This window comes from Homo sapiens, chromosome 1, assembly GCF_000001405.40.
Source record: "Homo sapiens chromosome 1, GRCh38.p14 Primary Assembly".
In the NCBI taxonomy this organism is placed as follows: Eukaryota; Metazoa; Chordata; class Mammalia; order Primates; family Hominidae; genus Homo; species Homo sapiens.
The window spans coordinates 161132820-161149004 of record NC_000001.11 but is presented as its reverse complement, the minus strand read 5'-3'; the positions used below and the strand labels follow the sequence as shown (position 1 = coordinate 161149004).

The window sequence follows — 16185 nt, the reverse complement described above, 5'->3', positions numbered from 1 at the left end:
CTCAAGTGATCCTTCCGCCTTGGCCTCCCAAAGTGCTGGGATTACAGGCTTGAGCCACCGCACCGGGCCGGAAAATCACCTTATTAAACCATTTAGTAAAGCATAGCACATAATAATGTATGATAATACAAAGCACTGTCTCTGTTATAAACATAGGCCTGCCTCTATTATAGGCATAGTTGCATCTCAGTAGGACATGCCTCTTTTAGAGAAATGTTTAAACTATGGATTTAACTTACTATTAAGTAATGCTCACATGAGACAAGAAACTAAAATTGAGAAGACTGGGGCTGGGCGCGGTGGCTCACGCCTGTAATCCCAGCACTTTGGGAGGCCGAGGCTGGCAGATCACGAGGTCAGGTGATCGAGACCATCCTGGCTAACATGGTGAAACCCCGTCTCTACTAAAAATACAAAAAAATTAGCCGGGCGTGGTGGCGGGCGCCTGTAGTCCCAGCTACTTGGGAGGCTGAGGCAGGAGAATGGCGTGAACCCGGGAGGCGGAGCTTGCAGTGAGCCGAGATCTCGCCACTGCACTCCGGGCTGGGCGACAGAGAGAGACTCCATCTCTGAAAAAAAAAAAAAAAAGTGTGTAGTCCCAGCTACTCGGAGGCTGAGGCAGGAGAATGACGTGAACCCCGGGGGGCGGAGCCTGCAGTGAGCTGAGATCGCGCCACTGCACTCCAGCCTGGGCGACAGAGCGAGACTCCGTCTCAAAAAAAAAAAATAATAAGGAAGAGTATGTAGGCCTGAGCCTCACTGTTTTTCAGAGGAAGAACTCATTCATGAGCAAATGTTTATGGAGTTCCTAATATGTTCCAGGCATTGGAAATACAGTAGTGCATAGGCAGGTGGGCTCCCTGTCCTCATGGAAATTATCCTTAAATAGTTATAAAAAGGAATTCAGCCAGGCGTGGTGGCTCACGCCTGTGATCCTAGCACTTTGGGAGACCGAGGTGGGTGGATTGCCTGAGCTCAGGAGTTTGAGATCAGCCTGGGCAACATGGTGAAACCCCATCTCTACTAAAATACAAAAAATTAGCAGGGTGTGGTGGTGTGTGCCTGTAGTCCCGGCTACTTGGAGGCTGAGGCAGGTGAATTGCTTGAACCCAGGAGGCAGAGGTTTTAGTGAGGTGAGATCGCACTACTGCACTCCAGCCTCAGCAACAGAGCAACATTCTATCTCAAAAAAAAAAAAAAAAGAATAGAAAAGGATTGATTAAATAGCTCAATTCTAGGAAATGTAGGCAATGCAATAGGACAGTTGGGTGCATCGGAGAACCCCTGAAGGTAGTTGAAAGCCCCACTGTCTGTCATCATGGGAAAAGGCAGCTCCTGGGACAGAAAGAGAAGTGAATACTGGATTAGAGAAATAAATCTTGGATTAGGGAAAAAAGAGGAAGCTTTTCCTCTGTTCTCTATTTTTTATTTTTTCGTGAGACAGAGTCTCGCTCTGTTGCCCAGGCTGGAGTGCAGTGGCATGATCTCGGCTCACTGCAACCTCTGCCTCCCAGGTTCACGCCATTCTCCTGTCTCAGCCTCCTGAGTAGCTGAGACTACAGGCACCTGCCACCACGCCCAGCTAATTTTTTGTATTTTTAGTAGAGACGGGGTTTCACCGTGTTAGCCAGGATGGTCTCGATCTCCTGAGCTTGTGATCCACCCGCCTCGGCCTCCCAAAGTGCTGGGATTACAGGTGTGAGCCACTGTACCCGGCTCCTCTGTTCTTTAAGGCATTGGTCTGGACTCTAATATGCTGGAAAATAACTCAGAACGGTGAAAGAAATGATAGCTCTGCTATAGGGAGGAAGCCACGTTATAGAAGATTAGTGTAGATGGACAGTAAGTTTTGGAAGTTATTCTCTTTTGTTATTACCTTTAATTATCCTGGAGACTTCAACAAAGAATTATGGTAAATTGTAGCTTGGTCTCTTATGCTATGAGAAACTGGGTTCACACTTAGAATCACTTGGTAAAAAGAATTATAATATTAAGCTAACATTTATACGGTGCTTATTATGTGTTTGGCACTGTCCTAAACATTTTACAAACATCAGCTCCTTTATTTCTGGTTATAACCCTGGGGTGGGTTCTCTCATTATCCTCATTTACACGTGAAGAAATTGAAGTACAAGTTGAATGAAAGAAAGCCCTATCACACAGCAATTAAATGGTAGAGACCTGGAATTCAATCCAAGCACAGCCTGGCTCTAGAAGTCACACACTTAACCAATTGATATACCTTTCTACCATCGCTAGGCCAATATAAAATTAGCAGCAGGGATCTGAGCGATTAGGAGCAGTAGCAGGGGGCTATTGATGGCCCTAAATGGCAGACAGTGATCAATAATGAACCTGTTTCTGAAAACACAAGGAGAGCCTGGTGGTTCTCCATTAAGCACAGTAGAACTGCAGGGACTCTAAACCCCCCCTCCCTTGAATGGGCTGAGGTATGTGCAGCACCTTCTGTGGTATTGGTATCACCCTTAGGGATTCTGGAACTACAGACTTTGCGTTTAACCATTAATGGGACTTCATCTCTACCTCCTCTTTGGGTAGGAGAAACTAATATGGTGACAATTACCATAAAATAAGAAATCCCAGGGGGAGGGGGGAGGGATAGCATTGGGAGATATACCTAATGCTAGATGATGAGTTAGTGGGTGCAGCACATCAGCATGGCACATGTATACATATGTAACTAACCTGCATATTGTGCACATGTACCCTAAAACTTAAAGTATAATAATAATAATAATAATAAAAAGAAATCCCTATTCTGGAGATATACAAAGTACTGTCTGAGTAACTATGCCTGAGAGAATCAGATATGGCTGATGGCCTTTGAACTGGAACTCTTAGGATGAATACATTAAACATGCAGGCAAGGAGAGAGCAGGGAAAGCACAAATATGATAAAATGCGAACAAACTTTTACATACATTTGATTTTAAAATATTTACTTCTGAATAGATAATACATGCACTTGCCCCAAATTTAAAAAGGACAAAAGAATATACGGTGAAACCTATGTTTCAGAGTTTTGCTCTTGTCACCCAGGATGGAGTGCAGTGGTGCAATCTCAGCTCACTGAAACCTCTGCCTCCTGGGCTCAAGTGATCCTTTCACCTCAGCCTCCCGAGTAGCTGGGACTACAGCAGGCACATGCCACCATGCTCAGCTAATTTTTGTATATTTTTGTAGAGACGGAGTTTCATGCCACGTTGCCCAGGCTGGTCTCGAACTCCTGAGCTCAAGCAATCTGCCCACCTCAGCCTCCCAAAGTGCTGAGATTACAGGCATGAGCCACTGCACCTGGCCTACTATCTTTTCAGATGTTTAGTCTCCATTTGTATTTCCTGTTCTGTACAATATTTCATTATTATTCATTTATTTTAGAGATAGAATCTCCTTATGTTGCCCAGGCTGGTCTCGAACTCCTTGGCTCAAAGGGACCCAGCCTCTCAAGCAGCTACATAGAGGTGCATGCTACACCCAGCTCTGTTCTGTAAAGTCTTACCTCCTTTCCCCCTTTTAAATTATTATTCATTTTTCTTTTCTTTTCTTTTTTTTTTTTTTTTGAGATGGAGTCTTGCACTGTTGCCCAGGCTGGAGTGCAGTGGCGCGATCTCGGCTCACTGCAAGCTCCGCCTCCTGGGTTCACACCATTCTCCTGCCTCAGCCTCACGAGTAGCTGGGACTATAGGCGCCCGCCACCACGACTGGGTAATTTTTTGTACTTTTAGTAGAGACGGGGTTTCACCGCGTTAGCCAGAATAGTCTCGATCTCCTGACCTTGTGATCCGCCCACCTCGGCCTCCCAAAGTGCTGGGATTACAGGCGTGAGTCGCTGCGCCCGGCCTATTATTCATTTTTCTTACTGATTTGCTTTTTTTTGAGATGGAGTTTCACTCTTGTTGCCCAGGCTGGAGTGCAATGGCGCGATCTCAGCTCACCGCAACCTCTGCCTCCTGGGTTCAAGCGATTCTCCTGCCTCAGCCTACTGAGTAGCTGGGATTACAGGCATGCACCACCACGCCCAGTTAATTTTGTATTTTTAGCAGTGACAGGGTTTCTCCATGTTGGTCAGGCTGGTCTCGAACTCCCGACCTCAGGTGATCCACCCGCCTTGGCCTCCAAAGTGCTGGGATTTGGGAGTGCTACAGGCATGAGCCACCATGCCCCGTCTTTTTTTTCTTTTTCTTTTTTTTGAGATGGAGTCTCGCTCTGTTGCCCAGGCTGGAGTACAGTGGCACAATCTCAGCTCACTGCAACCTCCGCCTCCCAGGTTCAAGCGATTCTCCTGCCTCAGCCTCCTGAGTAGCTGGGACTACAGGCGCCTGCCACCACGCCTAGCTAATTTTTGTATTTTCAGTAGAGACAGGGTTTCACTATGTTGGCCAGGATGGTCTCCATCTCCTGACCTCGTGATCCACCTGCCTGGGCCTCCCAAAGTGCTGGGATTACAGGTGTGAGCCACTGCACCCAGCCTTTTTTTTTTTTTTTTTTTTTTTTTTTTTTTTTTTTTTTTTAGACAGATTCTTGCTCTGTCGCCCAGGCTGGAGTGCAGTGGTGCAATCTCAGCTCACTGCAACCTCCACCTCCCGGGTTCAAGCGATTCTCCTGCCTCAGCCTCCCGAGTAGTTGGGATTACAGGTGCCCACACCACGTCCGGCTACTTTTTGTATTTTTAATGGAGACAGGTTTCTCCGTGTTGGCCAGGCTGGTTTTGAACTCCTGACTTCAGGTGATCCTCTCACCTCAGCCTCCCAAAGTACTGGGATTACAGGCATGAGCCACTGTGCCTGACCTGATTTGTATTTTTTTTTAAATATTAACATTAAAAGGATTAGCCATTTGTGATGAGTTGTAAATATTTTTCCCAGTTTGTTATTTGTCTTTTCTTTTGTTCATAATATTTTAAACAATATGAAAAATTTTCACATATGAGGTTATCAGTATTTTGCTTGTAGCTTCTCGTGGTGGTGTCACCATAACAGCAGTCTCGATTATTTTTTAAAAATTTTCCTCAGGCCCAGCGCGGTGGCTTATGCCTGTAATCCCAGCACATTGGGAGGCCAAGGCAGACAGATCACTTGAAGTCTGGAGTTCGAGACCAGCCTGGCCAACATGGTAAAACCCCGTCTCTACTGAAAATACAAAAATTAGCCGGGTGTGGTGGCAGGTGCCAGTAGTCCCGGCTACTCGGGAGGCTGAGGCAGGAGAATCGTTTGAATCTGGGAGGCAGAGGTTGCAGTGAGCTGAGATTGTGCCACTGTACTCCAGCGTGGGTGACAGAGCGAGACTCAGTCTAGAAAAAAAAAAATTTCCATTAGTGTTTTTACCCCCAAAAATTACAATGGCTTTATTATTTGTTTTAGCTTATTTGAACAATAGAGAAAAATAAAATTAACCCAAAAATACCACCCCAAGAGATTTTAAAAAGCCACTATCATTTTAGGTATATATTCTTCCAGACATCTCTATGTACACATTTCCAATCTTCTAAATCCTTTCAGTGTAATTCACTGTTCTAGGTTCTTGAGATGGATGCAGAACTCACAAATTCTCAGCTTTTCTTTCATCCTAAAATTTTTATTTATTTATTAACTTACTTATTTTAAAAGAGACAGGGGTCTCCCTATGTGGCCCAGGCTGGTCTCAAACTCCTGGCCTCAGGCAATCCTTCTTCCTTGGCCTTCCAAAGCACTGAGATTACAAGTGTAAGCCACCACATCCAGGCTCTTTTTTCTTATGTGCTCTTAAGACTATGTATTTTCCTCTAAGCACATTTTTTTCTTTTCTTTTTTTTCTTTTTTCTTTTTTTTTTTTGAGACAGAGTCTCACTCTGTCGCCCAAGCTGGAGTGCAGTGGCATGACCTTCGCTCACTGCAACCTCTGCCTCCTGGGTTCAAGCGATTCTCCTGCCCCAGCCTCCCGAGCAGCTGGGATTACAGGCACACGCCACCATACCCGGCTAATTTTTGTATTTTTAGTAGAGACAGGGTTTCACCATGTTGGTCAGGCTGGTCTCAAACTCCTTACCTTGTGATCTGCCCACCTTGGCCTCCCAAAGTGCTGGGATTAACAGGCGTGAGCCACCGCGCCCGGCCCTTTTTTCTTTCTTTCTTTCTTTTTTTTTAAGACAGAATCTCGCTCTGTCACCCAGGCTGGAGTGCAGTGGCGCAATCTCGGCTCACTGAAACTTCCACCTCCCAGGTTCAAGTGACTATCTCGCCTCAGCCTCCTGAGTAGCTGGGACTACAGGTGCCCACCACCACGCCCGGCTAAGTTTTTGTATTTTTAGTAGAGATGGGGTTTCACCATTTGGTCAGGCTAGTCTCCAACTCCTGACCTCAAGCAATCCACCTGCCTCAGTCTCCCAAAGTGCTGGGATTAAAGGTTTGAGCCATGGTGCCCGGAATGCTTTGTGACATTTTAAATTATCACTCAGGTCAAAATATTTTCTAACTCCAATTGTGATTTATTTTGTGGGTCATTTAAAAATGTATTCAGCACACTACAGCCTTAAACTCCTGGAATCAAGGGATCCTCTGGCCTCCAAGTAGCTGGGACTGCAGGCATGTGTCATTGTGCCCGGCTGTATTTAACTTGTAAACATAGGGACTTCCCAGTTACCTTTTTGTTACTGATTCTAGCCTCACTGTAATGTAGGCAAGAAACATACTTTGCATCATTTGAAGCCTTTGAAATTTGTTGAAACTTGCTTTATAGAACAATCTGGTCAGTTTCTTAAATGTTCCAAATGTGCTTGAACATGTGCTTTGTAATTTGAAGTCGTTGGGTATAGTGGACTCTATACGCTTGTTGAATCAAATTTACTGCTCGTGTTATTTAAATTTTCTATATCCTTGCTGATTTTTTCTTATTCTTTCTCTTTTTTTTTTTTTTTTTTTTTAGAGAAAGAGTTGGTCTCATTTTGTCTCTCAGGTTGAAGTACAGTGGTGCCATCATAGCTCACTGCAGCCTCAACCTCCTGGGGTCATGTAATCGTCCCACCTCAGCCTCCTGGGTAGCTGGGACTATAGGCATGCACAACCATGCTCAGCATATTTTTTTTTTTTTTTTGAGACGGAGTCTTGCTCTTGTCACCCATGCTAGAGAGCAGTGGCGCGATCTTGGCTCACTGCAACCTCCGCCTCCCGGGTTTAAGCTATTCTCCTGCCTCAGCCTCCTGAGTAGCTGGGATTACAGGTGCCCGCCACCACACCCAGCTAATTTTTGTACTTTTAGTAGAGACGGGGTTTCGCCATGTTGGCCAGGCTGGTCTCGAATTCCTGAACTCAGGCCCGCCCCGGCCTCCCAAAGTGTTGGGAATTACAGGCGTGACCCACCGCGCCCGCCCCTAATTTTTTTTTTTTTTGTAGAAATGAGGGTCTCCCTATGCTGCCCAGGCTGGTCTTGAACTCCGGCCTCATGCAATCCTCCCATCTCAGCCTCCCAAAGTGCTGGGATTACAGGCATCAGCTACTGCACCTGGCCCTGACTTTTTCTATCAGTTCTGAAAGAAGTATACTCTATTAATTGAGAGAGGTGTGCTAAATCTCCTACGATGATTGTGAACTTGTCTATTTTTCCTTGTAGCTCGGTGCTGTATATTATTTGAGGTTTTGTTAAGTGCATACAAATTTAGAAATGTTTTCCGGCGTTGGTTGAAAATCACCCCCGGTTTTGGCCGTGGCCGCGGGTGAAATTCGGCGCGCAAGAGCCTCCGGGGGCCTCAGCTCACCGCGTGCTGCCGCCATGTGCGACGGTGAAACCCAGGCCCCGACAGGGGCCGCGGCCTCCCCCCGGGTGTGGCTGCTCGCGTGGTCTGACCCCTGACTCCTGACCCCGGCTGCAGACCCCTAACCCTATTTTTCTCTCCGCAGGACACTGGTCCTCCTACGCCTGAGACCGACGTTGCCAGGACCGCAGGGTCAGGGGGACTTGGCTGTCCCCCGTCTTTCAAATAAAGCTGTTTGTCTAAAATAAATAAATAAATAAATAAATAAATAAATAAATAAATAAATTTATTTTTTAACTTCCTGGTGAATTAAACTTATTGGTATAAAATGTCCTTATTTCTAGTAATGCTTTTTGCCTTCAAGTCAACTGTGTCTGATTTTAACATAAGCTTCTTTTGGTTTATGTTGCATAGCTTATCTTTTCCTATAATTTTACTTTCAACCTTTTGATAACCTTATTATTGTTTATTTATTTATTTATTTAATTTATTTATTTTTGAGACAGAGTCTTGCTCTGTTGCCCAGGCTGGAGTGCAGTTGTGCGATCTCGGCTCACTGCAAGCTCTGCCTCCTGGGTTCATGCCATTCTCCTGCCTCAGCCTCCTGAGTAGCTGGGACTACAGGCGCCCGCCACCACGCCCCGCTAATTTTTGTGTTTTTAGTAGAGATGGGGTTTCACCTTGTTAGCCAGGATGGTCTCGATCACCTGACCTCGTGATCTGCCCGCCTCGGCCTCCCAAAGTGCTGGGGTTACAGGCGTTAGCCACTGCGCCCGGCCTATTGTTATTTATTTATTTAAAAAAAAATTTTTTTTTGAGACGGAGTCTCGCTCTATCACCCAGGCTGTAGTGCGGTGGCACAATCTCAGCTCACTGCAACCTCTGCCTCCCGGGTTCAAATGATTCTCCTGCCTCAGCCTCCTGAGTAGCTAGGATTACAGGCACGGGCCACCACACCCGGCTAATTTTTGTATTTTTAGTAGAGACGGGGTTTCACCATGTTGGTCAGGCTGGTCTCGAACTCCTGACCTCAAGAGATCCACCTGCCTTGGCCTCCCAAAGTGCTGCAATTATAGGCATGAACCACCACGCCCAGCCTGTTATGTTATTTGAAAAAGAATGGTCTGGAATATAAGAGCATTTTTACTTAATTGAACAACCACCCAAAGAAAAATTGGTTAATTCTCTAATTAACTGGTGGGATTGGTGAGACAGGGTTGTTTTATGTTACGGTCTTTGGAATAACCAATGACTTGGAAAAAGTCATCCCCATGGGGGCAGCAAAGAGTCATTGATAAAGAGCCTGCTGAATTTCTGAAACCTGGTGAAACTTGTTATATATAATACAATAATAAATATTAGGTAACATTTATCCAGCACTAGGCCCTGTGCAACACTTTCTATACATCATTTAATATAATCATTAAAACAATGATCTGTAAGGTGGATGTTATATTTCTTTCACAGATAAGAAAACAAGTTTAGAGAAGTTAAGGAACTTGCCTGTCATATTAGTGAGGGTCAGAGCTGGGGAATGAAGAAAAGGGAACAGGTTGAGGCGACTTGAACAGCAGATCACTAGGATTCAGCAACTGATTGTGGTCCCTACTCCTTTTTTCTTTTTCTTTTTTTTTTTTGAGGCAGCAGGGTCTGGCTCTGTCACCCAGGTTGGAGTGCAGTGGTGCGATCTTGGCTCACTGCAACCTCGGCTTTCCAGGCTCAAGTGATCCTTCCACCTCAGCCTTCTGAGTAGCTGGAACTATAAGCACATGCCACCATGCCTAATTTTTGTATTTTTTTCTGTAGAGACAGGGTTTGGCCATGTTACCCAGGCTGGTCTTGAACTCCTGGACTCAAGCAATCCACCCGCCTCAGCCTCTCAAAGTCCTGGGACTGCAGGTATGAGCCACCATGTGTGGCCGAGGTCCCTACTCTTTTATTCGGGAGCCATAGAAGCCAGAACTGCAATAAATTCTAGTTCTGGACTTAGAGCTAGGTTCCAAGCTGAACTGAAATTAGGAGGAGCCAGTAGTATAATGCCTGGATGAAAATGAGTAACTGGGGCAGCTTAGAGTTAATAGGAAACCAAGAATAGAGCAGATCATCAGGTCAGCAAGTCCCTGCAGAGTAAAGCAGAAGAGTAAAGCCCTGGTAGGGACACAGGGATCCGAGTGGCCCTGGAAGAGTCAAGAGGATACTTGTGACAAGGGGCTAGTGCTAGCAAGATAGAGACTTCTTAAGGGAATATCTGGTTTGAAAAGATTAATCTGGCAGACCTGGGAAGGAACATGGACTAGGACAAGCAGCCTTAATAGAGTATTCAGATCAAGAAAGAGAACAGATCTGCTTTACTCTAAACTGGTACTACCACTGACTTGTAAAAAAATATTTAGTAGGGACATGTGGCTATGATGTGTTGACCCAGAGAGAAAAAACAGAACCAATACATGGAAGTTACAAAGAGATTTATCTAAGGATAGTAAAAAGGCCTTTCTAATTACTGAGAATTACAGGGAGTTGAAAACTACAGTTAAGGACACAGTGGAAATGTGAGCCTGTGGATAGCTGAAGGGTTCCAGGTTACAGATTCCAGTGAAGGAAGAGGTAACTGTGGGAGTAGTGTTTTGATAAGTAGAAAAGGATGGGCATCAGGATAGAGCTGAAGGGGCCAGTCTTTGAAAGCTGGAGGGATGTTTTCTCAGCTGAGGAAGAGACAGGAACTAATGTAAAGGAAGAAACATAACAAGCAGAGGACTTCCGCAAGAGAATTCTACACAGGGTTCTCAATCTTCTCAGAGGAAGTTCCCCCAAGTTTTTAGTTGAATTAAGGAGAGGGTGGTTCATAAGGCAAGAGATGAAGTTTTTGTTTTAACTGTACAGATGATGTATAGTTTAAGCTAAGGAGGAACAGCAGTCTAGCTATAGCTAACAAAAAACTCTAAACTGTTTGAAATATTTTTTTCTCAGTGATGGACATGAGGGTGCCCATCTCTACACAGGAGGTCCCTTTGGCTTAGCTCAGGAAATCTGCACAGCTCTCTTTGTTGGCGTTACGATCTTAGGACTTCATGTTGAAAGAGTGAACTTCCAGGGCTCCCCAAGCAGAAAATATCCCTCCAAATAAACTGACTAGTTTAGGAACAGCTGGCCAGGCAACTGTCCCAATGTTTGGAATTTGGAAAATTTGGTCATTGAAGTCTGGCCCCAGGGAAAAGAACTGAGTTCTGTGAGTCCTGCAGGGGAAGACAGATTACTTTGGAAGGCCTAATGAAGGCAAATCTCAGCCCTTCCTTCACCTTTCCATTCTTTTTTTTTGAGACAGAGTTCAATTCTGTTGCCCAGGCTGGAGTACAGTGGCGTGATCTTGGCTTACTGCAACTTCCACCTCTCAGGTTCAAGCAATTCTCCTGCCTCAGACTCCCGAGTAGCTGGGATTACAAGTGCATGCCACCACACCCAGCTAATTTGTTTATTTTTTAGTAGAGATGGCGTTTCAACATGTTGGCCAGGCTGGTCTCGAACTCCTGACCTCAAGTGATCCTCCTGCCTCAGCCTCCCAAAGTGCTGGGATTACAGGCATGAGCCACCGTGCCTGGCTAAGCTTTCCATTCTCAGTGAAGAAAGTGATCTGTTCTCTTCCCCATTGGTTGCAATAAGCAGACTGGACATCATACTATGACTAGAAAAGGCAATCCTCAGCTTTCTCTAATCCTCTGAATGGAATTGGGTTAGGTTTGGAGAGGAGAGGTGGGTTCATGGAAAGGAATTACCATCATGGTGCCAAGACTACTGAGTGTCAAACCACTTCAGAATATGGATACGGAGGGAGAATATTATTCTCCTTTAAGAAGTAGTGCCTGTGTCTGTCTTTTTTGCGGGCTTATGTGGATTACATCTGCATTCCACACATCACAGCTACCTCTGTCCTGATGGCTATTCCTCTAGGAAAAGCTAAGGAGCAATCTACGAAGACAATGAATACATAAGGGAGATTGTTTACAAAAGAAAAGTGTTCCAGTGGGTATAGAGGAAAAAATGGTCAGAGGTGAGGTAGAAATTTTTTACTTTCCCCAATTAATGAACACCTTTTCCCTTCAACCTTCTACAGGCTGTTTATTCTTGCTCCTGTAGGAAGGCGTGGCAAGGTATCAGCTTTCTCTTTGCTACCCACTGCTACTTTTAGACCACTGTGCTTCCATCCTCTTGCAAAAATTCTTCTCCCTTTGAAGCTTATGCCATCTGGCTTTACTGCCCTTTAACACCTTTTTTTTTTCTTTTTCTTTTTGTAGTGCAGTGGCAATAATCATAGCTCACTGCAGCCTCAAACTCCTGGGCTCAAGTGATCCTCCAAACCCAGCCTTCAGCACCTATTAACCTCTTTTTGTGCCAACTCTTACTATCATCCTGGGAGGTTTTACAAAAACCCATGAAAAATACAGTTAGTTCCTGACCTCCAACTCCAACGAATACTCCCACTTTCAATTCCTTAATTTCACCATTTCTAGAAAAACAGGTTTTTGTTGATGGCAGCTTCAGGGCCATAGTAAGGACTGGGAGAGGGTAGCATTCTTCTTCTTTTTTTTTGAAACAGGGTCTCGCTATGTCACTCAGGTTGGAGTGCAATGGTGCCATCAGGACTCACTGCAACCTCAAACTCCTCAGTCTCAGGTGATCCTCCCACCTCAGCCTCCCAAATAGCTGGGACTACAGGCAAGTGCACACCCACCTAATTAAAAAAAAATTTTGTAGAAATGGGGTCTCTCACTATGTTGCCCAGGCTGATCTTGAACTCCTGGCCAAAGTATTGGGATTACAGGTGTGAGCCACCACACCCAGCCAGGGTATCATTATTAAGTGTAGTAAGATTGATGGTGCCAGCACTGGCTGGTGTTGACTTGAAGACTCACTGAAAGACTGGGACTGGCAGCCATGATGCATAAGGGCAGAATAGCCTGGGGGTTGTACTGCCCAGTGATACTTGGGGAAAGGTTCAAGATCTGGATTTGACTCTTGTGCCAAGCTTCCAAGAAACCTAGGTTCAGAGGTAAGAGCACCTTTCCTATCAGCTGCCTCTGTGGGGACATCTGACACTTTCAACATCCACCCCCTTGAAATACTCTTCCCTTTGATTCTGTGACAATTATCTCCCAGGTTTTCTTCTTCTTCACTCGCTGTTCCTTTTCAAAGATTCTCCAAGAGCTCTTTTTCTACTTGTGCCTTAAATGTTGGAATTTCCGAGAGCACTCTTCTTAGCCCTCTGCTCTTTTCTGGGGAGCTTATCCAAATCTATGGCTTCAACTACCACCGAAATGTTGATGTTTCAGAATTTCTGGCCTATATATCACAGGGCTTTCTAAAAAGTAGTTTTCTGGCCAGGTACCATGGCTCACGCCTGTAATCCCAGCACTTTAGGAGGCCGAGGAGAGTGGATCACGAGGTCAAGAGTTTGAGACCAGCCTGGCCAACATAACGAAACCCCGTCTCTACTAAAAATACAAAAAATTAGCCAGGCATGGTGGCGTGCACCTGTAGTCCCAGCTACTCAAGAGGCTGAGGCAGGAGAATTGCTTGAACCTGGGAATCAGAGGTTGCAATGAGCTGAGATGTGCCACTGCACTCCAGCCTGGGTGACAGAGCGAGACTGTCTCAAAAAAGAAAAAAAAAAAGTAGCTTTCTGTAAAATAATATGTGCATAATAAAATAATTTCAAGCAATAAAGATAGATGTAAAATGAAAAGTATAAGTCTTATCCCTCCTAGGCCCACTCTTCATAATTTTTTAATGCATGTGTAAATGTGTCATATTTATTCTGTGCTTGCTTTTTTTCTCCACTTATATTTTTCTCTTAAGTTTTAGATCTGTGTATTAAACATGCCACTAGGACATATCTATCTAGCTATCTCACAGGTACCTAAAACTTCTTCACCTTCTTTGGAATTCTCCCTCCTGCAACACCCTACCACTAGTCTCCTTTTTACATCAACACCATGAAAAAACTGTCTTTATACGTTGTGCCTTCTCAATTCAATCTGGTTTCTATCCACCATAACTACAAAACAGCTTTCTCCAAATTTCCTAAATGACCTCCTTGTTGCAGTATCTTTTTTGGGGGGACAGAGTCTCACTGGAGTGCAATTGTGCAATTTCGGCTCACTGTACCTCCGCCTCCTGGGTTCAAGCGATTCTCCCACCTCAGCCTCCCAAGTAGCTGGGATTACAGGTGCCCGACACCATGTCTGGCTAATTTGTGTATTTTTAGTAGAGATGGGAGTTCCACCATGTTGTCCAGGCTGGTCTCGAACTCCTGACCTCAGGTGATCGGCCCACCTCGGTCCCCAAAGTGCTGGGATTACAGGTGTGAGCTACCACACCTGGCCTTTTTATTTATTTGTTTTATTTACAAAAAAACCAAAGTCTTGTTCTGTTGCCGAGAGTGCAGTGGTGCAATCTTGACTCACTGCAACCTCCGCCTCCTGGGTTCAAGTGATTATCATGTTTCAGCCTCTGGAGTACCTGCGATCACAGGTGCGCACCACCATGCCCAGCTAATTTTTGTATTTTTTGTAAAGATGGGGTCTTGCCATGTTGACCACACTGGTCTCCAGCTCCTGGTCTTAAGTGATTCACCTGCCTAGGCTTCCCAAAGTGCTGGGATTACAGGTGTGAGCCACTGTGCCTGGCCCTTGTTGCAATATCTGATAGATACATTTTATTTACTTTATTTTATTTTTTTGGAGACAGAGTCTCACTCTGTCACCCAGGCTGGAGTGCAGTGGCACGACCTCAGCTCACTGCAACCTCTGCCTCCTGGGTTCAAGCGATTCTTGTGCCTCAGCCTCCCCAGTAGCTGGGACTACAGGCGCGCACTGCCATGCCTGGCTGATTTTTGTATTTTTAGTAGAGACGGGGTTTCACCATGTTGACCAGGCTGGTCTCCAGCTCCTGACATCAGGTGATCTGCCCGCCATGGCCTCCCAAAGTGCTGGGATTACAGGAGTGAGCCACAGCACCCGGCCTATTTATTTCATTTTTTTTGAGACAGGGTCTTGCTCTGGTGCCCAGGCTGAAATGCAGTGGCGCGATCTCGGCTCACTGCAACCTCTGCCTCCTGGGTTCAAGCAATTCTCATGCTTCAGCCTCCCAAGTAGCTGGGATTACCGGCATGTGCAACCACACCCATCTAATTTTTTTTGTATTTTTAGAAGAGACAGGGTTTCACCATGTTGGTCAGGCTGGTCTCGAACTCCTGGCCTCAAGTGATCCACCCGCCTCGGCCTCCCAAAGCTAGGATTACAGGTGTGAGTCACCATGCCCGGCCCTGATGTATATATTTTAGTTAGCATTTTACTATATCTCTGTTACACTAAACGCTTTCACCAGTTTCCTTGATAGTTCTCTATGGTTTTCTTCTTTCCTTTCGGTTTGCCCCTTCTCAGTGTTCTTTTCGGCTTCCCTCATCCTATCCCGCAAATGCAGGTATCCTCTCCAGCCCACTTCATGGCTTCAACAGCTATCTATATGCACACGCACACACACCTCAAACCTTTCTTTTGAGTTCCCAACCCACATTAGCTAATATCCCAGGGGCACCTAAAACTCATTATCTCCCCCCTAAACGAGAAAGAAACTGGTATCATTATTCCCCAGTTGTCCAAGTCACAACATTCGTACCTCTTAAACCAATCTGTATCTCCCCATCCGCACTCTCCCTTCCACAGGCAGACCATCATCATCCTTGCCTGGAAAAGAGCCTCACAACTGCTCTCCTTGATTCTCCTCAATTCATTCATCCTTCACACTGCACGCAGCGATCTAAAATGCAAATGAAATTGTTCACACCTCTGCTGAGATTCTTCAAAGACTTTTCATTGCCTTAAGGATAAAAATCAATTAATTTACAAGGCTTCGCATAATCTGGTCTTCCCCTATCTATTACCACTTTCTTAAGCCACACCAGAACGTACCCGCACCATCCTCCCCACCCCCAATTCCCAACAGCCCTACACGGATCAGCTAGGCGACACTTCCTACAGGAAACCGGCGTTCAAAAGGTAAATGCTGAACAAATGAATTCCGAGACGGGATCTGGGCACCACTTTCGGCTCCGGATCCGGGTTTACGGAACGTCCGGGTTATCAGGAAGCTCAGAGGAAAGGTGAAATCCAGATCTTGACCCTTCACTCAAGTTCGCCAGACAAACCGATCCCCGTGGTATTCCGCCCTTATGAGTCATGGCTGCCAATCCCAGCCTTCCAGTGGGTCTTGAAGTCGCCACCAGCCAGCTGTGGCGCCACCAATGTTTCCCATTCAAGAATGCTATCCTCTTCGATCCCTTATTACCGCCCTAAGCAGCCGTCAAGACAAACCGGCGTTGCCAGCTTGCCCCAAAGCAAGATGGCTGCCAATCTCTATCTCTCCTCCCGAAGTGAAGCTATCCA

General features: G+C 45.5%; 1 long non-coding RNA gene and 1 other non-coding gene across 2 annotated transcripts, besides 1 other annotated feature; one reads left to right on the top strand and one right to left on the bottom strand.

The window, feature by feature from the left end:
* Positions 1-7668: 7668 nt before the first annotated feature.
* On the top strand, positions 7669-7797 carry LOC124900457 (small nucleolar RNA ACA64). The gene has a single exon (XR_007067443.1). It is a non-coding gene; the product is annotated as a small nucleolar RNA ACA64 (small nucleolar RNA).
* Positions 7798-11062: 3265 nt separating this feature from the next.
* LOC112543491 (linc-UFC1) lies at positions 11063-13855 on the bottom strand. Its single transcript, NR_156734.1, has one exon. It is a non-coding gene; the product is annotated as a linc-UFC1 (long non-coding RNA).
* Positions 15874-16183: an enhancer, noted in NCBI's record as "active region_1977". NCBI's record gives its function as "activates an Ori minimal core promoter by ATAC-STARR-seq in GM12878 lymphoblastoid cells {active_cell/tissue: GM12878}" and the evidence as "EXISTENCE:reporter gene assay evidence [ECO:0000049][PMID:35858748]".